The 24,049-nt window shown below is 36.5% G+C and overlaps 1 protein-coding gene across 18 annotated transcripts in view; it reads right to left on the bottom strand.

Annotated features, from left to right (window-relative positions):
* KIAA0825 overlaps window positions 1-24,049 on the bottom strand; it is a 467,754-nt gene that overhangs the window by 329,768 nt on the left and 113,937 nt on the right. For 16 of the 18 annotated variants that reach the window (XR_948246.3, NR_169751.1, NM_001145678.3 and 13 more), the window contains one exon: window positions 4,151-4,312. Coding sequence is in view for 15 of the 18 variants with exons in the window: in NM_001145678.3 (NP_001139150.1) it covers window positions 4,151-4,312 (162 nt within the window). In the remaining 3 variants the exon portion in view is untranslated. Of the gene's footprint in view, window positions 1-1,521; window positions 3,704-4,150; window positions 4,313-24,049 lie in introns of those variants that run through there. The other 2 variants (NM_001385714.1, XM_047417111.1) reach the window with 2 other exon arrangements.

Raw genomic sequence — 24,049 nt, forward strand, 5'->3', positions numbered from 1 at the left:
CTTGTATTTATCATTTCACTCCCAAATACATTATGTTTATTCACTCAAAGTAATGTGCTCAGATGTTTATACAAACCATCTGCCTATATTCAAGATGACTAAGGAAAAAAAGAAGCTTTCCAAGATTCCTCTTGCTGGTGAGCAATTCTACAGTAAGATATAGAAAATGAATTATGAAGCAATTATGATAGCCTTTAAAATATAATCCCTCTCCCCCAAATTAAAATGGTTTAAAAAAACTTAATTCTGTACAGGGAAGCAAAAGTTATCATCTTTAGATAGGATTACTAACATGGGATCTACACTAATGTGATATATTCTGGATTTAACAAATTGTGGCATTTTTACATTTGTCTGGAATTCAAAATGGTCAATGTTGAAATTTGGCAATGTAAAACTCTATGAACTCTAAACATTTGATGAATTATTTCATATATTTTAAAAATGTATTTAAAATCTATACACTTATTATCATTGTCTAGAGAAGGTAGCCCACTTTCGGCTCATCACTGTAAAATATAGTTATTTGCATGCAGTCAATACTGGTTTCTTTAAAAGCATGCCTAGATTAAGAACCTCAGAAGAGTGCAGAGGGTCACAAGAATGCCAGCTGCTCAACAGCTTCCCCTACAGAGTTCTTTGTGGTTCATTTTATACTTCTGGTTAGTTTCTACACTGCCGCTTTCTTTCATAGAGAGTAGAGGTTGGCAGTACTTCCCTGTGACATCCACTTTCACACCCAAATTGGTGTTCATAGGTTCCCATTGTATGCACTACAAAGCAACTTGCCTTGTTGGCAGCTCTAAGTGGGAACTACAAGTCTTTCTTTTCTTCACTGTTCTTTTTCTGGCTCACAAGCAACCTCCCACCAAAAGCTGAATCTGTAGAAGAGACTACATCCAAGAGATAATACCATGAAAAAGTATGAAGAGAAACCCAGGTGGCCACCTTGCAAATTTCCAATGTGGAAGCCTTCGACCTCTCTGCCCAAGAAACAGCTAAAGTCCTAGTGTAATGAGCTTTACAAACCCTAGGAGCCTCTTTACCTTAACTACATACGCCTCCCTAATACAATCCCTTAACCATCTAGCTAAGGAACTCTTAGAAGCCATTTGACCCCTCTTAAGACCCCCTAAGAGTACAAACAATCTTTCAGAAGATCTGAAATCTTTGATTCTTCTGAGACAAACCCTAAGTGTTCTTCTTACATCCAATTGAAGCAGCCATTGCTCTTTGTCATTGCTGGGGCTAAAGAAAAATGAGGGCCAAGAAGCCTCCTGGTTTAGATAAATCTCAGATGCCACCTTTGGAAAAATTGAGGAATTGCCCAAAGAACAACTTTATTCCAAAGAAGCATTAGAAATGCCCCATAAATCAAATCCACGGCCACTCCATAAGATATCATCACCTAATACAGTAAGGCACCACAACAGTCAAATAATGTCCTATCATTTTTTGAAGTGACAAAAATAGAAAACCATCGAATCATGACCAAACAAAAGCAAATAATGACAAAATATCTTTTCTTTCTCAGAAAATATTTATTGTATCTCTACAAAATCTCTTGTCTACAATCAAATTACTGAGAGAACGGCCAATTTGGCTAAGTCTACAATATAATAGTAAACATCAAAGTAAAAAGTAAAATATTTGGTTAATCATTTTTATATTTTCTCTATGTGATGTTAAGTGTCTGGACATTTTTAAAAAATCTGCACAATGCAAAAAAAGTCCTCATTTTTCATCTGTTCATATGTTTGGGTTACATAGACATCGTAGGCAACTCTTTCCAAGATCTTTATTAGCAAAATATGCTCCAATCAAAATAAACACGCAGGAAACCAAATGACTTCCTCTCTATTTTCCCCGCTATTCTCTTCCTCACCAGATTTCTAAGCAAAACATTAACTATCAGGAATACCCAATAGTTAAGATATAGTTGGCTTCCTTAATCATCCATTTCAAGGAGTCTTTTCCTTCCTGATTTAAGAAACCAATGCTTTTGATAAGAATTGATTAACTTGGATACACTGAATAAAACATTTAAGATTTTTCTTGACAATTTCCCTCAAGATCATTCTTCTCAGGAATCTATTTACATAAAGCTGCGTCACATTAAATCAATCTTGGCTTTGTGACCAAAAAAATATGAATTTCAACAAAGAAGACTACATATATCACAAGGAGACGTTCTAGTACTGAGACACTTCTTATACTTGCCCCTTGAAATTCCTTCTACATCCTGTGTTTGATAATCCACAAATGTGTTCATATAGTTCACTATTATTAACATGATATTGAAGTTGCTTTTATCTGCCTTACTGCTTATAAGATGACACATTTGCAACAGTATATTGTGGCAAATTATGTATTTGCTCTGTTGACTTTCATTCACAAATGGTAACCATTGCTCTCAAATATCCAGCATTTGCAAGTCTCCACATTGCCTCATCTTAATCTAATGGAATTGAATCACCTTTTTCAAAATTGTTATTTTCTCTAAAGTCAGCATGCCAAATCTATGCTTCAATTCTTGGCCATTTCAGTGTAACATCTTTATAATACCTCCTAATGCAATTCTAATTTTGAATTTATGCTGACTTTAAGAAGAATAAAGTTCACAAAACTGACTTAATTCCCAAGAGTCTAGCCTAGGACTAATACAAGATGATTCAAAATGGGTAGAAGCCTAGATGTTTTGAAGTTCATTCTGTTTCTTGATGCATACCTCAGAAAAGGTCTGTTAGAGATGTAGATGAGAGATGACAAATCTTAGCCAGGCACGGTGGATGAGTACCAACTCCAATGTCAACTGTTCCAGGAACCAATATGTCAGTCAATAATTAGGATATCATACTTCTCTATTCAGACCTCTGTTTGACCTCACAGTCAAACTCTATCTAAAAGACGTTTTAAGGGTCCCATTCTCTCCTAATTAAATCTTTGGCTTTTTTTTGGTTTTTTTGGGGGGGTTTTTTTTGGGGTTGGCTTCAGAAATCTATAGTCCATCTTTATTTTTTCTTCAAATTCTCTCCAAATTTGAAAAAGTAATCTATGTTATTTATTTTATAATATAACAGTGTTACCTAAATTTCACCTGAAACAAAGAAGGCCAGTAAACTATGTTTAATGTAAAACAAAATCCAACCCTATAACTTTTGTGACATTACTTACGTGGGCAAAGTAAGTAAAGGAATACAAGAGTAAACATAATAAGTGAAAATAATTTTACCAAGAGATCGGTTTTGGGGATTAAATTTTTCAGACTAATTGTTAATCACTTGCTTCCTTCACTTTTTTTTGCAGATGCAGCAAATATATATATATATATTTACACTCCTTAGAATGGCATATGGTATCACGTAAAGGAGAACTTTGTATATTTCATTCTGAGGAAAATGAAAATTTTTATAAATATAGATATGATAACAGAGAACATACCTCAACCATTATACCTTTGAATTTTACCTTTAATGTTGGAAATATTATTCAGTACACACAGCATGGCTTTTTTCAAAGGGGTTTTGTTAAGACTAAACTAAAAACAACATATTCCATAATTATAATTACTATTTTAACAACTCACATTTATTGATCGTTTATGATATACTAGACATTTTCTTAGGTATTTTATTTTCACTGTCATTTAATTCTCACAACCCTATATAACATTATAACATATCGAAATCTGAAGCATCTAATCCTGAAAGAAAACAAAGAGAAAATTAATGTAGTCCTACATCATTATTTTGAAGGTGAGAAAATTCAGGTCTAAGGAGACTATATGTTCTGCTCAAGATCATCTGGGTGCTAGGAGCAAAAGAAAAGATACTAGACCACCCAGTCTGCTTATTCTTTCCATAGGCTAGTTGTGTTTCTTTGAAAAGAAAAATTGACCTAATTTTAGCTAAAAATCATCCAGAATTGATGTATGATGCTTTGTCAATTAGAATTAAGGAACTTGCCAAGCATGAAGGATAAAAATGTGTGCATTTTTATATATAATGCATGGTGTGCATTATACCAAATGCTTATTTAAAGAATTCTTTCATGTGTGTTTTTTTCAAGTAATCGTTTTCATTCAAAGCAGCAGGAAGCAAAAACACAGAGAAATTATAGATTTACAAATTTAAACAAAAGAGGATATTACCTGAAGTATCCCTGGTTATCTTGAGTGATAAAAGTATTTCGTCAAACAATTCTTGAACACCTTTTTCCAGTTTCATAAAGGATTTTATGAGCTGCGATAAGAATTCGACTTTGTCTAAAGGGAGAGAGAAGTTTCTTCCTTTCTGTGGGCATTCAGTAGTAACTGTGAAAAGAAAAGATCAATACTGTCATACATTTTATTTACCTTCTTAGTAAATATTAGAATGATCTGTGTGATTCCATAAACCATATAAAAACTAACAAGTTCCTCCATAATTAAACCAAATTAGTTCATTAAGAAATACATATAAAATCTCCTAGGAGTATCTTTTCTTCTGGGAAGCTGGAGATGAATATTCTGTTTCAGGCAAATATAGCAATTAAATAATTAGATCGATTCTCAGAGTTATAAATAGAAATTTGATTTCTTGTAAAATCACATCTTACGCAATTCTGCTTTTTTTTTTCGGTCTGGCATAACTTAAATCTAATGACAAGGAAATATTACACAAACCCAAATTGAGGGACAGTCTACAAAATAACTAGTCTGTACTTTGTGAGGAAGTACAAAGGCCAGGAAATGACCTAGTCTAAAGGAGTCTAAATAGACATTAAGTAAAACTGAAATTAATACATAATCAGCATTTGATTTTCATATAAAAGACATACTTGGGATAATTTGGTGAAATCTGACTGAAGTCTACTATGCAATGCTATTACTGTATGACTTAATTTCCCGATTTATATAGCTGTATTGTGGTTAAGCAAGAGAATGTCTTTGTCTTTAGGAAATACACACTGAAATACATAAGAGTGTCTGCGGACTATTTTCAGTTCAAGAAAAAATAAAATTTTGCAAAGAAAGAGAGAGAGAGAGAAAGCAAAAGTGGAAATGTGGTCAGATATTAACATTTGGGAAATTTGAATGTAAAGGAATTATTTGTATTATCCTGGCAACCTTTTTGTAAGTCTGAAATTAAAATAAACATTTTACAAAACACTATATTAAAGATACACTCTTTAAGACCTTATAAGTGTTGTTCCTATCATTAAAAAAAGCAAATTAAGGTAGCTATTGAATCTAGGCTACATAATTCATGAAGTCATGTTTAAAAATAACTTGTCTAAATAATTGTGATATCTATTATTTGCGTAAGAACAATACAACTTAAAGGTTGTTTTTTTGCCCTCTTATGATTACGCTACTAGTAAAGTCACACTATCATTTTAATATGATAATAAAATCCCTTTATACTCTTTAAGAGTATGGAGAATAATTCACTTATTTCATGTTCTTAACTCCAATTTGTTGCTTTCATTTTAGATTACATCACTAAATGGTCTTTTTGACCAAGTTTTAAAGGATTTAAAAGAATCCTATCTTTATTAATGCCTTTTATTAAAACATATTTAAGAGATAGCTTGAAGCTTAATCATAAATTGGAAAATTTGTAAACTCCTACAAACTTAGCACAAAATGCCTTTGGAGACAAAATACAAGTGCTATTCAAAAACTGTATAGGGTCTGACAATTCCATGGGACAAAAGATTACCTTCATCACATGGATGGTAGAAGGAAGATTCCAGAAATCTAACAATTTTATGGCTATTCCACTTCACTTCAGTGAAACTTTAAAATGTTAGCATCAAACTTGTAGTCCTATAATAGTCTTTCACTGAGGACCAAAAATGTCATGATCTCTTTGCAGGTACTATGAGAAAGAGCTGTCTACCAACTTAGACTGTAAAATTTAGTACTGTTCTGAAACAGTAAAAAGGTTTTAAAAAATCTGCAAGTAAATACAAAAACTCTGTTTCATCTCTAAGTTGACGTTAGCCCAATATACATGAAAATCTAACTCACATCTACTGTTCTTCTATGGGCATGTTAGAGAACACAAGTATGTATAGGCAGCATATACAACTAAGGCTTTGCCAGAAATATTATGCCCCAAAATGAAAAGAGAACACACATATTATGTTTTATTTAGTTGGTACTTGATTCCCATTTGGTCTATTTGACTTATCTTAAGCTTTGCTTATGTAGATGAGTGGCTATTTTAACCTTCTAAACCTTAAATTTCCTTTTGGACCTAAAATGTTTATAAACCAAATTTTCAAAGGCTTTAAGAATCCCTCCTAATTCTTTACTAGGAAAGGCCGCTCAATAGTTTCACTAGAAATTAAGCATGTTTAAGAAGTCTTTATCTGGCTCAATTCCAAATTGGAAGTCTTGTGAATGTTTATAAAGTAAGCAAAGAAACACCGCATGAAGAATCTTTAAGAGTCAAAATTATATAAGAGTGCTTGCTACTTGCTGACAATTATGCGAGGTCTGAGGATTCTAGATGAAAAGGTCTTACTTTCATGACCTGGATTTAGAAGAATCTTGTATTCCAGGAATACAACAATCGTGAAAGGTAAATCTTCTTTTAATTCAGTGAATCTTTATAACTAAATAATGTAAGAGGACAGAATGAAATATATGACCTAAATCTAATCATTTTTTTGTCCCAACCAACCAATGATTATGGGAGCTGCCCATTAATTAGCAGTCCTTATTTCCTATTACTATCAGCTCAGTGTTCTCCCAAGGGGTATTGTACAGGTTCTCAATTTATGGGGAAAATAATTCTGTGATAAATTCATTTTGTGAAAGGCCAATTAAAGCGAAATTAAGCACAAAGGATGAAGTAGCATTTCCCAAACTTATTTGACTTATTTTACCTCACAGTATCTCATAGGACTAGTGTCCTAATCATCACACCTTCACTCATGATTTCTATCTGCCTAAGCGTATGTTTCTCTGTCCCTTAAACTCTTATTGTTAACAAAATTAGGAAAGAGTTTCTCCCAGCAGAAATTCCTTTGACCATCTCCTTGGCTAAATTAATCTCCTTTCCGCATTTTTCAGTATTATTTGTTTTCTCCTCCCCTCTAAGTTACCTCTCCAGAAAACATTATCTGCCAGTCTGGGCAACATGGCAAACCCCATCTCTACAAAAAAAATACCAAAACAAACAAACAAACAAACAAATTAGCTGGGCGTAGTGGCGTGAGCCTGTAGTTCCAGCTACTCAGGAGGCTGAGGTGGGAGGATCACCTGAGCCCGGAAAGTGGAGCTGCAGTGAGCCAAGATTGTGCCACTGCACTCCAACCTGGGCCACAGAGTGGGACCCTGTCTCAAAAACAAAACAAAACAAAACAAAAAAATGGCTCCATCTCGGCTCACTGCAACTTCTACCTCCTGGGTTAAAACGATTCTCCTGCCTCAGCCTCCTGAGTAGCTGGGATTACAGGCATCCGCCACCAAACCCGGCTAATTTTTGTGTTTTTAGTAGAGACGGTATTTCTCCATGTTGCCCAGGCTGGCCCTCCTCGGCCTCCCAGAGTGCTGCGATTACAGGCGTGAGCCACAGCGCCCTTCTGAAAACTTTTTGGATACAATCAATCCAGGAGTTCTTCTTCCCCCACTAAGACAACCTGGCCTTTATTTATTTATTTAAATCACTATGGGACTGTTGTGCTTCAAAGTTTTGGACATACATGTTTACACACAGGCAACTCTGTCTGGCCTTCTGCTAACCATTGCTGTAAAATATCTGACATAATAACTATTATTTGGCTATGATGAGCTCTATGATTCTTAGGAAATACACAGTTCTCCTAAATCACCAAAATATTATAAAGATAAAATTAAATTTTCATTTTAGAGAAAGTATTTAATTTACCATCAACTAGATGAGTAAGCCCACGTAAATAATGAGGAGATAGTTGAGGGTTTTTTCTTTATATATAATTTTAATAAGAATTTTTCTAATATGCAATATAAAATATTCTGCTTTATTATTTAGTGTATTTAAAACAATGTAAATTTTTCTTCATGATAGAGTTATAATGAAAGTTATTTATTTCTATGCCACACTCAGGGACTAATGTTTGTCCCTCTGTTAAAGGGCATTTCTCAAATTGCTTTCATTTTAGATTATACGAAAAGGGTTCTACGACCAAATAAGCTTGGGAAATACTACATACTGAATTCTTCTTAAAGTAATTCACAAGGCTAATTAGTATATTAAAGTCTCTATTTCCTGCCATAATAAAGTAATAACTTTCTAAACTTAGTGTTTCTCAAACGTTTTCGAGCAATGAACACCAGTTTATCAACACAGATCTACTCACTTCTGAGATATTCTCAAAAACAGCTGTGTGGGGGACACTGCTCTGGATTCCTCTACAACTTGAGTATTTATATCTGCCTTACAGATTTTCCTTTCATTGTTAGACCTTTTGCTGCAGGTTCTTGTTGTTGGTTGTATGGATGACTTTACCAGTACCCTCTTCCACTTGTAAACCACTGCTTCTAACATTATCATAGTATTTTTGCAGACCCCTTTAAGAAACTAAGGAAAGTCTTCTAAAGCCTCCTAGACCTTCTCATTGAATTCAGTTCACGTAGTCACAGTGTGAAGGCTAAACAGAACCACCCGAAGTCCATCTTTGGCTCTCACAGGGCAGTATGGTTCAGGATCTTCTGTAGCATTAAAAATGCAAATTTCTGGATCTTCTCCAGAATTAATGAATCAGCGTCTCTACGGGACGAAGCCCAGAAATATTACTTTTCAGCAAGTGTCCCAAGTGAGTCTTTTGTGTGCTAGAGTTTGAGACTCCTGTCTGAGGGGTTCATGAGCTTTAGATAAAAACCCTTGTGGGTTAAAAATCACTCTCTAAGCATCAAAAAAACTAGATTTGGGTCTCAGAAGTCAACCAAAAAGTTGCTATTGCATAAAACACCAGTGACTTAAAAAAAAAAAAAAAAACAAACTCCACTTTTTTGGCTAGACATGGTGGCTCACACCTGTAATCCCAGCACTTTGGGAGGCTGAGGTGGGTGGATCACCTGAGGTCAGGAGTTCGAGATCAGCCTGGCCAACATGGCGAAACCCTGTCTCTACTAATAATACAAAAATTAGCCAGGCGTGGTGGTGTGCACCTGTAGTCTCAGCTACTTAGGAGGCTGAGGCATGAGAATCACTTGAAACCGGGAGGCAGAGGTTGCAGTGAGCCGAGATCATGCCATTGCACTCCAGCCTGAGTGACACAGAGAGAGACTCTGTCTCAAAAAAAAAAAAAAAAAAAGAAAGAAAAGGAAGTCTAACTAGTAGCTAGAAAATCATGGAGGACCTGCAGGCATTGTTTTTATCCACTTTTTCCATGTCAAGAAATTTATGACTTTTTTACTTTTAGAAGAAGTATGGAACATCTGTAGGACATTTCTAAGAATATAGCCTACATATTTGCCCTGGGCAAAAGAGGAACTGCTGTTAGGAAAAAAACCTAAAGAATAGTTGAAGTTCCTTAGACACAGTCAACACAAGTGTAAAATGATTTCCATGAGGCCAAAGACTATATCCAGCTTATTTGCCATAGTATCGCAGAACTCAGCATAATCTCATACAAAGTAGGTACTCAAAACACTGATTAAAAAAACAAAGTGAATGAAATCCCATCGATCCTAGAAATAGTTAGGTTCAGGCCAGAACAAAGTAAGATTTTATACCAAAACCTAAAATGTATTCTTTAAAACAATAAATAATTACAGATGTTTTTAAGTTCATAAATAAATATTTACAATATTCTATAAACATTCCTTATAGTATTCTGTTTGACAAAATAAATTTGAAGATTACTTCCAAAATAGAAAGCATGTGCAAAAGGCTATAAAAAGAATGATGGGCTGGGAACTTGATAGAGTATATTGATAATATTTTTTCTAAAATATGACTTTTGTGTGTTAAAAAAATAAAATATACTTTAGGAAAAAGAAATTTCACCATAAAAGGTGCGCACAGATATTTACAAAACTGTTACCCTACATTTTTAAAAAAGTCTTCTTCTCTGTCTATATATATTTGTAAATATATATATAGGTATTATAGATATGTGTCTAGATATATACACATACACATATCTATAGGCATATCACACGTAAAGAATATAGACTACAGATTATACACTTAAAGGTGTTAAATGTTAGTTATACGTAGTTCAAGTATTAACCCCATTCTCTTCTAGCAAAATTTAGGACATTGAAAATAAATCTAGAGGGACATTAGGTCTCCTCACATTTGATCTGCAACAAAGCAGCATTTGAAATAAATATCAAAGTCCAGCTAAATCAGACAAACCATAAAAATACAGGTAGTGGCTGCAAGCACACATATTATTTTCCAAAGCTATTAGCAACAGAATTCTTATTAATAATAGTGGTAAGATACAAGAGAAAATGAGAAGCTACACAATCAGATAATCTGGAGCTGGAGGATCAGTATAATAGGATAAAAGGTGCGCATTTCAGTTTTCCCAAGAAAAACGAACATTAGCCACCCTATTATTGACTGTAAATGGATCCATTTTCAGTGAAGAGGTATTCTCAGTGCCACCAGACAAGCGACGTAAAAAGAGGTGACACACAAAAGCTACTGAAAGTCTTATTATTCCAGGTGAAATTTATGACATAATACAAATGGAAGATCTTCGCTCCAGTAAAGAAAACTTTTAAAGAATATTATAATATGAAGTCAGCAGGGACCATGTAGGAACAAACAATAAGCAGTACTTCTCCCAGGACCCAAGTCACTTCCTGAGAGGAAGTGGGACTCCAGAGCCCACTAAATGGATAGCAGTGGTCTGAAGAAGCACTGGGCCTCCTCAAATGCTCGGTTCCATGGAGCCACAGCAGGGGAAAGAACAGAACGCAAACACCATGATCCTGAGTTTGTAAAGGGCCTTCTGTGTCACTAGTAGCTAGAAAATCATGGAGGACCTGCAAGCATTGTTTTTGTCATGAACGCTAAGATGAAATTGAAACTGTTTTTCCCCTTTTCTTGAGGCATTATTGTTATAACTTTTACTTATTTTGAGAATTTATATGACTAGAAAAGAATTTGGGGTAAAAGTACGACAAGGAATATTTACACCTTAGTTTGCAGAACTGAATTTCTTACTTCTCATCTCTTTTGAGGAGGCTTCCGTATGTACCACCCAATATACACAAGGTAAAACTTTGAAATAAATTGAGTGAATAAATGAGTAAATAAATGATTAAAAGAATGAAATGAATATCTATGAAGTTAAGTGAAAATGTAACCCAACACAAGCTGAATATGTGAAAATTCAGATAACCCACAGATAAGTGTCAGGAACCCTCTTCTGAATGGTGAGAGAATGGAGAAGGAACTATTAAGGAAACTGAGCCTCATGAATGTAAATGAATCTGATTTTGAATTTAGAAAACATTTAACTCTTAGAAGCTAAAAGTTGGACTCCTCCTCCTCTCTCTGTCTTTCCCCACTTCTGGTGTCGCCATCCCACCACCAATTGTATCATATGTTTATTTATACCATTGTTACCTGAAGCACAGAGGTGGCATAGCGGAGGGGCTAACACACAGAAGCTGTAGCCAGATGGCTTGGCTTCAAATCTGGGCACTGTCCCTACTACCAGTATGACTTTGGACAAATTACTTAGTCTCTTTATGTCTCAATGGTATACGAGTTAACACAGAACTGTTCTTGGGAGGTAGTACTTGCTATACAAATGTTAGATTTTAGTCTCATCTCCTCTGAGAAACCTGCCCTCAGACCCCAAGCCAGGTCAGGGTTTTGTTCTCCATGCTCCTTCCTATTTTGCCTTGCACAACCCTTCATTTTAGCATTTACCATGTCACATTACAATGGTTAGTTTGAAAGTTGTCTCTTAAACTTTAAACTCCTTATAGGCAGAGATCTTTTTCCCCCATGACTGCATTCCCATTATCCATCACAGTGCCTATATGAATGAATGGCTTCAAAATGGTACATTTGGGGTATCACTAGTGAGTGTGAGAGACAAAATCAACTGCTTTTAACTTATTTTAATTGGCTTTCTCCCCCTCCATTGTAAACATGCTTCTTTTAGTAAAATACTAAATGAGTTTCACATTAATTACTGTATGACAATTTTAACAGGAAATATTTTGGAGAGAAATAATGATAAACACCATATCAGAGACCTATTTCACTATAAACTACTTTAAATATTAACTGTTATTTAATTGACTCCATCTCTAAGGTTAACATTCATGAAGTTGAATGGCAGCCCCACTCCAAGACCTTCCATTGCATCTTTACGGCGTCAGTTCTTCAAAACACTGGTTTTGTTTGTGTATGTGCATGTGATCATCATCTTTTAGAATCTAATATAAGCTATGCATCTATGTTCATAGAAGGATGTTTTGCATATAATTCCAAGAGGTTCTCAGGCCTTAGAGTTCTCCTGATCATCTGGCTGAGGCCCTCTGCCTTGATCTGGTCTGACTTTATCAGAAATAGACCCTATAAATCTCCCTCTCATTCAAGAGACCTGTAGTTTCTAGAAGTTTCTACTTCCCTTTGCAAGAATAAGTGCTTTCCAGCTTCCACCTCAGAAATTCATCACTCTTCCCATTTCATAAAATTAAATATCTTAACACATTTACACAGATAATTCTCTTAGCCTATTACAATATAGGCCTTGGGTAAGGTGATGTGATATACTGAAAAATAACTAATGGTGTCACCCTTTCAGGAATTTAGACAAATACACTGATTAGCACAAAGTAGCAACTGCTTCCATAGAGGTACATGACAACCAAAATATGTATTAGAGAGGCTGAATTGCTAGTACATACAATATCTGCATTTTTTGTTGTTGTTGTTGAGACGGAGTCTTCCTCTGTCTCCCAGGCTGGAGTGCAGTGGCGCAATCTCAGCTCACTGCAAGCTCCACCCCGCCGGGTTCACGCCATTCTCCTGCCTCAGCCTCCCTAGTGTCTGGGACTACAGGCATCTGCCACCACGCCCGGCTAATTTTTTGTATTTTTAGTAGAGACGGGGTTTCACCATGTTAGCCAGGATGGTCTCAATCTCCTGACCTTGGGATCTGCCCGCCTCGGCCTCCCAAAGTGCTGGGATTACAGGGGTGAGTCACCGCGCCTGGCCAATATCTGCATTTTTTATACCTTCTTTCTCTGATCTAGTTGTTGCACTAAAATTTGCACCCATTGATAGGAGTAGTAATCATGATCTAAAGAGAGGTAGATGTATAGACAGAGAGAACCCCTGGGTTTGAAATATTTCCTCCCAACCCACTGAAAGGCCCCACGTGACAGGGAGGTTTTCTATTTCCTTTGGAGGGGTCCAGACAGTAAATATCCTCTTGTTTCACATACCAAGAGAAACCTAAGTGGCTAAAAAGGGTGAAGATAGAGTCACCCTGAAGCTATTCTTCTGGGTCAATGAGAAAAACTGAAAAGACACTGCTTCTATTCTTACCCTTTTATGATTCCCAGGCCAATGCTGGCTCCACTGGATGTTACCTAAACTTACTGCTCAATGATAACAAAATTCTCCCACACTCCATTCCCTCTTCTCTGGCAAAACCTGTCAGTATTACATTAGCAAGAAATCTGACTTCTTGCTCATTTCCCAAGGGTATAATACTCTTGTCCCTCTCCTATATTCAATCCTTTTTTTTTTTTTTTTTTTTTTTTGACTGAGAACATGAGAGAGAATATCTAACTACTGATGTGGCCAGTTTAGGCCACTGTTAGTTGAAGATGCTAATCAAAGAATGGCTTACATTTGAATTCAGCCAAAACTGAGAACTGTATTCAGGGCAAATTTCTGAATATTTTTCAGCTGACTTTTGTTTTATGCTGGTTTAACTCCCAGTTGTAAATACTTAGATATGCTTAGATATGCTGACACTTTGAGGGAACATCCTAATAAAAAGACATCTCTAGTGTGATAAAATGGGTTTTAAATTTTAAGTACTATATGCTAATGGTACATTATTAATGAAAATATCTTCCTAGTATCCCTTTCTTGGTCTCAAATTTTGCAAGAGTTCAGTTAATTATATCTCTTATCATATGTGTTACTTTCTCGCATCATGACCAAAAATTAACCTGTAGAAAAAACTTAAAACTCAGTTAACAATTCATTTTTACTATAGCCTAAGATTGAACCTGAGAATTTATATTTCATTTTTTAAAGGAATATGCCGTGACAGAGAAGTTACATTATCAGCTCTCAATATAACATGTTAAAAATTATTTTTAAAAATTTAGCACTCAAATAAAATTAATGCCATCATCAAAAAGATGGATTTCAGTTAAGACATCTGCTGAGTGTGCTTCCTAATACACTTTCCAACCGAATCACAGCCTTTTAAAAGAAGTGGCACGTTTTTCCTCCTCTATAATGAAAAATAAAGAAAACATTCTCTTCACACTTTTTTATCAGGTAGGAAAATTATAATGCCCATGAATGTATGTTAAAATGAATATGAAAAGAGATAGCCATGGTGAAAATAGCAATCCCTAGTGCCCACCTGAAAAGCTGTACTCATGAGCTTATTATTCTAAAAGAGTAGGGCAGGCCTGAGAGGTAGAGAAGACGTGTCTCAGGTGTGATGGCACTTTGTAAATTTTATAGTTAATCTTACCTTTTTAGCTGCCTTCCTCTCCTAAACAATAGTTATTCAGCCATAAAGGTAAGATCCTATTGCCTTCAAACTCCAAATACGACTTTGCAGCCCCTTGGTGGCAGACATTATCTTTTTCCTCCAAAGGCCTATGATCTACAAAAAGCATCTTTAAGTGGGTTTCACTTTTTAATTCAATAAAGATTTACTTTGTGCCTGTCATGCACAAGGCACCATGTGACATGCATCACCTGCAGTGACAGGAGACAGGTACAGAGTCAGATCTGAAAGCAGAGTGGGGTGACTAAGGAGGGCCATACCTCACCAGTCACCATCAGCTCCTGTGGCCATCCGAGGCTCATGAGAATAAATTTACTTCTCTTTAACTATTTTAGTTCAGGCAAAAAGAAAGACATTACACTCGATACATAAGAAAAACTCAGTGTTGAAAAAAGTCTGGATAAGAAACTAATTGCAGAAAATATCTGGAGTTGACTGTCATCCTATTTTGATATAACTGGTTAATACTGGGCTCACTTATGGTTTGTTTCATGGGAATTCTTTAATTGAAAAACACAATAGAAAATACATGTGAAAATAAGCAACTTAGTTTTTATTTGAGTATATAGACAAATCTTAGACTTATTTGATTTTTATATTGTAATAACACATGAAGCTTTGTTTAATAAACACAAATATTTAAAAATTCACTTAGATTGCATTTTAGATCCAGTGTTATTGGTGGCTGGGTTGTGATGAAGAAGGGAAGACAAGAGTAGGTGGGAAGGGATAAAAAGGGAAAGGTGGTGAGAGGCTAGGGGAGAGGCAGTCCCCTCAAAGAGAGGTTGGCACGTGACAGCTCACGGGGCAAATCTGGCCCAGAGCCTATTTTGGTGCAGTTGGCAAGCTAAACATGGCTTTTCTCTTTGTAAACGGATGGAGAAAAAAATCAAAAGGAGAATACTTCATGACATGTGAAAATTACATAAAATTCAAGTTACAGTGTCCACAAAGTATCACTGAAACACCACCCCACTGATCTATGGCTACTCTGCGCTACAATGGCAAAGTGAAGTGGCTGAAACAGGGACCTACCTTATGGGCTGCAAAGCCTAAAATATTTACTATTTATCCTTTAAGGAAAAAGTTTGTCAACCCCTGCCCTCAGCAAATAGAAAGAATGCAAAACAGAGAACAGTTATAGATTACTGACACACAAAGGCAGAAACTGGTTAAAAAGCAGGGGGTGGGATGACGGAGATAAGAGTAATGGTAGGGTAGATGTACCTGATAGCAATAATGTACCCATATCCTTCGAATGCACCCGTGTGGCAGATGAACCTAAATGTGTGTTCTGAGCTAGGTGGAATGTCTGCCACCAAGGGGCTGCAAAGTCATATTTGGAGTTTGAAGGCCAAGCCAAAGATTTATTCTTTATCTATGATGAACATCTGAGTCTCCAGCCTGTCCCGTGGAACATGGGCCAGACTGTACAGGGGATTGAGGCCCTGAATTTTGGGTTAAATGGAGGTTGCCAGGTGGAGGTTGTTAGCAGGGAGGGTATTAAATGAAAATGCTACATAAATAGCATGGTGTTTGCAAGCCGCTGCGGTTTTCCTGTCCAGCCCACTGTCACCGGACTCTCTCCCCTATATGTGAGCCCCTGATAAAATCCCATGTCTCATTTGCTGGCTCTGAGTCTCTTCTTCGGCCTCTTGAACGTGGCGCCTTCCCTATTGGGATTAATAGGATTTGCCACGGCATTAATTAACAGTTACCATTTACTGAACACATACTATATGGTAAGAACTTTATATATGTTGTTTCCAATCTTAATTAAAACCAAAATGAGGAAACTGAAGGTCAGAAAAAGTAAGTTACTCACTAGTGAGTGACAAAGTAAATCCACTCTGAGAAAACTAGCAATGACATCAAATGAAGAACAAAGTATGGGGGTCAGGAGGTGATTTATATGAACAGTTTCAATCTGTGAGATTCATTTTGGAATAATATGGACAATTTTTGGTCACCAATGAGAGCCAATGCACACTTCAGCCAGAATCATCTTTCATTTGCGTATTGCCCTCAAACACCAAGTTCTATCAATGTTAATGACAGAAAATAATTATATAATGCTTACTATAGCATTATGTAATTTATATTAGAGAATTATATTAGAGAATTAGCATAAATAGGTGGAAAGCACGAATACTACAATTTACCTCTAAGACACAAAAAAGTTAAATAAATTGCTCAAGGTCACAAAACTCATAAGTCACAGAGCCCCAAAGTAAAACAAACAAACAAAAAATATAAAAAACAAGTCACAGAGCCAGGACTTGAATGGCTCTATAATCCATACTTTCAACTTTTAATGGCAAAAACCACAATTACTTTTGGACACCCACCTAATCAGTTGAAAGTACACTATGTTGGTATCAAACTTTAGCATGTATCAGAATCACCTGGTGAGCTTGTTAACACACAGATTGCCAGGCCCACTCCCACTGTTTATGATTCAGTGAGTTAGCGGAGGAACCTGAGAGTTCACATTTCTAGCTTATTCCGGGTGATGCTGCTGTGGATTTAGAAACCACACTCTGAGCAATTGCTCTGTTGCTTCCCTGTTAATGCTTTGTATTCCCACCTAGCCATCCTGTTCTCAATGTTTATGGCTTCACCTCAGCATAAACTCGCATTAAAATTCACACTAGAATTTCCAGGCAGTGGGGTGGGGGAAATATTCTTCTAGGTGGTTTCTTTATATCCTTCTCCCCATTCAGGTAATCTTACACATAACTGGACAAGTTCTATTTCTTAAACACTTCTATCAAGTTATTTTCTGCTCAAAAGACTTTAACAGCTACCAGGTGTAATTTAAACATCAAAGACTGGTTTTCAAGACTCTTGTAATCTGTTCTTAGGCTAGGTATCATATCATATCATTCATTCAGTTGTCCACTTTTTATTTGACTTAGTTTTTGTATGCCCAGCACTTCTTTTGCTCTTCTAATAACAAGCTTATCCCTGGGCCAATCAGAAGCCTTCCCTGAGACTCTCTAAACTGAGGTACCAGGAAGCTGTTAGGATATGAGCAAAAAACTGCCAGGAGCCATGTACCCACTGAGTGGAGAAACTGGTCAGAGTGAAGTCATCACATAGGGAGAAACCAAAACAATTGATGATTAAAATACAGTTGAAGGCTAAGATCCTGTTGCTCAGGTCTCCAGAATCCTCTGGTGCCCATTCTTCCAGAGGTTTAATTGTTGTTTAATTATTTAGCTCTTTCTTCTATTGTGTAATCTACAACATTCTTCTTTTAATTAACACCCTTCCCTTTTCTGCATAAGAAGCAGAGATGAGAAATGGAAGAACAAAGATGTCACTTCTAAGTTCAGAGTCCTGGCTAATGGCTTCATTAATTATTTATAGGATAGCTCCTATGCGCCAGTCACAGTTTTCTCCACTATCTCCAATAAGTCAGTGTAATCTCTACTGCTGGTACTGTCTGGACTGCAAGGGAAGCTCTTTCATTTTACTTCTGCTTATGCAAGGTCTACTCACAGCCAAACTCGAGTCCAAATCTTCATGAAGTTTTTCTAGCTTGCCCTTCTTTACACTAAAATCTCCCTTCCCTGAATTCCTAATGTGTTTAAAGTCTTACAATAATCACTTGGTAATTAATTTAAAACGGTCTTATAAGGTTTTTCTCCCCATATTGCTTTGTGGGTTCATCTTTTTCTTTTACCTCCTAGATTTGAAGGCACTTGAAGACACCACATAAAATCAGGCTTTAAACTGATTTCAAACTTTAGAAAAAATTGCTCGTGGCAAAGCAGTTTCCTCAAAAGAAATATGATTAGTTGCTCCAGGGTGGAGCTGGGATGGAGAGTGGGACTGAGCTACAGAATCAGACATCATATGGAACTCTCAGGGTTGAGTGACAGGATGAAAGAAGCCAGAAGACCTGAGAAACAAGGCCCAGGTTCTTTCTGTTTTGTGCCTTCCAAGTAAACTCTCCATGCTGTGAACATCCCTCATGTTGAAATTCTATTTCTGAGCCAGCATTCCCCCCTGCATTGTGGGAAAACAGCAGAAAGTGAATACTGTTTTGTTCATCAATTCTTGTTTTCTGCTTCTTCAGCTCCTGCCCACCCTGCAACCAACACGGTTCCATTTCATCTTGATCATCCTGGGCATAAGTTAGAAGGAACCCCTACTTCCTGGAATCGCTTTCTTCTCAGAACTCTGCAACTGCTTGTCTGTGTAACTTCAGCAATTTTTCATATATTCATATTTTATTTCCCAATCTGGGGGGGGGGGGGGACCAAGGGTCTTACACTTTCTGGAATCCCCATTAATCTTAGCATAATATTTTTTAAATAGTTGAGTTTCAATTAATAAGTCGTTTGGCTGGCTAGTACCAATACAGATTATTAAACTTCCAGATAGTGATTTATTTTAAGAAAATGGTTCAGTTAAGAAGATACTCATTGAACTCCTGTCATATATTAGGCAGTGAATTAGGTGCTGAAGAAAATAAATAATTCTTGTCCTTAAGGTGCTTAGAGTCCATATGGGGAGACAGATCCCTAATTAGATATGTTGATAGAATATGCTAAGCTTTGAGAAAGGCATATGGAGATGCTGTAGGAGCGTGGATTAGGGGCTGTAGCTCAGAGAAAGCTTCTTAGAAGAAATGACACATGAGCTGTCATAAAGGATCAAAAGGAATTAGGCAAGGAAGGGAATGAAGAGAGTAAGAGGTGGCACACGCGACATCATGAGCAGAGCTTTCTGTCAGTTCAGTGTTACTGGAGAGTGAAAAATATGAGGTGGGGAGAGGCATGAGATGAGACTAGAGAATGCAGGTGCTAGGTCAAGGAAGGCTTGCTTTCCAAAACCTAGCCTCTGAAGCTTTATGATGACAGTGATGAGGAGCCACTGAAGAGCTTTAAATAGGGGAGTAAAGTGTACTTGGCAGATGTCTTAGAGGAAAGCAAGAATAAGGGTAGAGAAACCAATGAAAAGACAAGACAAAAGTATTTTAACATTAAGTCCAAATGAGAGATGATAAAGCACTAAATTAGGCCTTGATGGCAGAAATGGAGAAGAGGAGATAGACTTGGAAATATTTAGGTGGTCAGGCAAAATGTAAAATCTTGGTGATTCTTTTGACGGTGAGGAGCAGGGCAGAAGGGGAGAATGAATCATAGTTTCTGGGTGAGTGATTATTAGCAGCATTAACTTAGACTGGGGAAGAGAAGCGGGGATCCAGGGAATGGTGAGGAGTTCTGGTTTATCCATGCGGTGTTTGGAGTGCCTGTGGAATAGCCAAGGGACCAAACAAACAGGCATTTAGCTGTAGAAGTATGAATCTCCAGGGCGAGATCAGTCCTGGAGCTGGATCTGGCAATCATTCACACACAGTGACTGTTGGAATCATCATGATAAACAAAAGAGATCTCCGGATACTTTATTATTTTAATTTCATCTTATTTCATTACTATTATTATTTTTTGTGATGGACTTTCACTGCTGTTGCCCAGGCTGTAGTGCAATGGCTCGATCTCAGCTCACTGCAACCTCCGCCTCCCGGGTTCAAGCAATTCCCCTGCCTCAGTCTCCCTAGTAGCTGGGATTACAGGTGCCCGCCACCACACCCAGCTAATTTTTTGTATTTTGAGTAGAGACATGGTTTCACTATCCTCACCTCAGGTGATCCACCCACCTCAGCCTCCGAAAGTGCTGGGATTACAGGCGTGAGCCACTGCACCCGCCTCTTTCACTACTATTATTTTAAATGGAAAAAAATTAATGTAGCACTTTCAGAGAATATTATATGAGGCACATTAAAGATAAAACAAAGTGTTCATTGTGCATTGATTTAAAAATAAAAAAATATGCAGCCATTTGCTATATATTGATGTTTGGGAACACCACATTAACATATGACAGCAAGTCACCTCGTCAGTACAATACTATAAATGTATACATATGTCTGTATATATGTATATGTTTTAAATAAAGATAATAACAAAGCAATTGGTTTGCACCAGATACTATGTGTAATAGCCATATTAATACTTAGATGCTATGAGGAAGGTTTTATTTTTATCATCTCCATTCCAGATTAAATGTCTAGGCACTCCTAGAAGAAAAACAACCTATCCAAGGTTACATAACTGCCAAGTGGCAAAGCTGGAATACAAAGACAAGTCTGACTCCAAAGCTCCTAATAGCTACAGGACATTGAGCACTACGTGGCCATCCCTCACTCCCATGCCTTTTGTCCAGGCTTCTTTTTGCAGCAATGAGAGGATGATGCAAGAGGGGTCAGGTGAGCACAGGGATTTCAACCCATTTAAAAAATCATAATTAATGACTTGATGAATCTATCTAGATATTCATGCTCAATGAATGTATCTAGATATTCATGCTTCTGAATATTGGTAGTTAAAGGTATATTTGTTTTGGAGGGCAATTTGAGTATATGTATCAAAATTTTAATTAGCTTACTCTCTGGTCCGGGAATATCACTTCAAGGAATAAGACTTTCAAAGATACACAAGTATACAAAGAAAAGAAACTAGAAAAATCCTAATGTCTATAAATGTGAGATGGTTAATTAAATGACTGAATAATGATATAATCATATAATACATATGTCATAGTTTGCAGCCTGTAAAAAGAATAATGCAGATCATTCTATATGTATTGATACAAAAGTGATCTGTGATATAAGTAAAAAAAATTGCAAAGGAATCTGTAGAATGTACATGTACAGTATGTGCATTATTGTGTAAGGGTACACACCAAACTATTAACAGGGATTACTTTAGGATGGTAGGGTTAAGGGTAGGTAAGGTAAATAAGACCTAATACTTTTCACATTATACACTTTAAATATGTATGTATACACATACATACATACATACACACATGAATTTAATATGTTTATATAACAATGGGCATATAATGCTTTTGAGAAGAAAAATTAATATTTTTCTAAATCCAGCAAGTCAACAATCTATTAAGATAAATTTAAACTTAGTGATATACAAATAAATTATGCAACATCTATATTATAGAATATCATGGCAGTGCTGAAAAGAACGCCAGACCCAATTGCACTGAAATTGAAGGTGGTCACAAAATATTAAGTGAAAAATGCACATTACATGACAATATGTCTAGTTTGATCTCATTTTTAAAAGTTACAAATATGAATTCTTATATGTGCATAAGAAAAATTCTAAACTATTAAACAAAGTGTGAATAAGAATGGTAACCCTGGGAAACAGAATCAAAGGGAAGGCAATATGAGAATGCTGACATTTCCCTTCATGTATATTTGATTTTTTAATTTTTGTAATAGAAATGTATCACTTTGATTATTTCTTCAACATAATAAAAAGATTTCTAACAAAATGCAGTTTTAGGAATGGATCACTTGTCACTTTATTTCAGACCATCAATATCTAATATAATGAAGTCTGCAAGTGTACCCTATAATAAACTTCAGATTCATAAAATTTGTAAAATATATAATTAGCTGGGCACGGTGGCTCACGCCTACAATCCCAGCATTTTGGGAGGCCAAGGTGGGTGGATCACTTGAAGTCAGGAGTTTGAGACCAGCCTGGCCAACATGGTGAAATCCCATCTCCACTAAAAATACAAAAATTAGCTGGGCATGGTGGTGGGCGCCCGTAATCCCAGTTACTCAGGAGGCTGAGGGAGAAGAATCGATTGAACGCAGGAGGCAGAGGTTGCAGTGAGACTCCATCTCAAAAAAAAATATATATATATATGATATATATATATATAAAATTAGCATAACTTTCCATGTTTAATGGTGCACTAAAGACTATACAAAAAGTAAAAGTACTGTAATATGTTTTCCAATTTTCAGTTTTTCTCTTTCTTCCTGTTCCCACAATGTAAATCTAGGCCCTTTTCACATAATCTCCTAACTGATAAATAAATGAATTCCCTATAACACTTCCTTGAACAATCTAAATAAGCAATCTCTATTTTATCACTTCTTTCTCCTTGCTAATACTGAGGAAACACATTCAAGCTTTCATAAAGCTTTCATTTTCACAAATGTATATTATTTCTGAAGCAAACAAAAACAAACCAGGCTCCAGAAATGCTCCTGGTTACATTTTGGAAGTGAATCCACTTCTTCTCTGGTCCCATTCCCTCCCTCATGAACACAGAACTTGGCTGTCTTCTTTGACTGAGACGGCCCCTGGTGAGACCCCACTGCCTTACAAATCAGGACACATGTCCTCACCAGAATAGAATGTTGCTGACAGGAATGTCTCACCTGTGCTGTAGCTCTTCCCATAGCACTAACACTACTTCTCCATCATCTGACAATATCTCTTGCTTCCATACTCATGCTCATGCCTTAAACACTATTACTTCCCTTCTTGGTTGTCTTAGAGAAGACCAACACAAGAACCTCTCTGATCTTTCCCAAGGGTTCTGAAGGAAAGTCCTGCCACTGGGAAGCAAATAAGGATATCTTCCTAAGGAAGAAGAGCCTACTCTGCATTCTCCAATCTTGGCCATCTTCCAGGAAGCTAGCCATCTGTTCAGAGTGCTCAGAGCTAGACTTCATCTTTAGTTCAAAGTAGCAAGGCACTGAAAGAGCATGCTGCAGAAGAAGCCTATGACTCCAGCCTGTGTATCAAGAACAATGATCATAGACATGGACCCAAAATGCAGAGGGACCTAAGAGAGAAAGGGGCTCAATTCGATTAGCTTAAAATTGCTCTACTTCCAACAAAGCATATAAAGAGGATATTATCAGAGCCCTTAAATTATCTTAAATAAGGCCTTTATTGACAAGATCGCATTTCTCCATGTTTTTTCATTGTAAGTAACAATAAAGAAGCAAATTTGAGCAATAAATGGGAGTTTTGTATAAGAATAAAGGCTGTCTTAGCCTTATACTAAATTATCTCAAGTAGGTAGAGGGACAACAGACAATAAGCTGGAGTGAACATTGTGAAGCACCTCTCTTTAATCATTAGCTGAATGTGCTCTCACTCACACCAAGCAAGAGGATCAAAGCAGCCATGATAGTTGCTTAGTGGGCCCAGATGCCCAGTTTTATCAAAGTGAAACTTAAATGCTTGGAACTCCCTTGAAGGCTAGAACACTCCAAAAGGCTTATGATAAATTAGGGAAATAGTCTGCGCTCCTTTATTTGTGTCCCAAGTGGCATGAGTGATTCCAAAATGGTATTAAATATTCTTATTTTTGTGAGTGATTCAACATGAAGGCTAGATTTTATCTTAGTGTGTGTAAATTCTAGCTATTGAAAAAAAGTATATATATGTTCTTTCCCAGATAAATTATAAATCTTTATTAACACAGG

The sequence above is a fragment of the Homo sapiens genome, chromosome 5 (assembly GCF_000001405.40).
Source record: "Homo sapiens chromosome 5, GRCh38.p14 Primary Assembly".
NCBI lineage: Eukaryota > Metazoa > Chordata > Mammalia > Primates > Hominidae > Homo > Homo sapiens.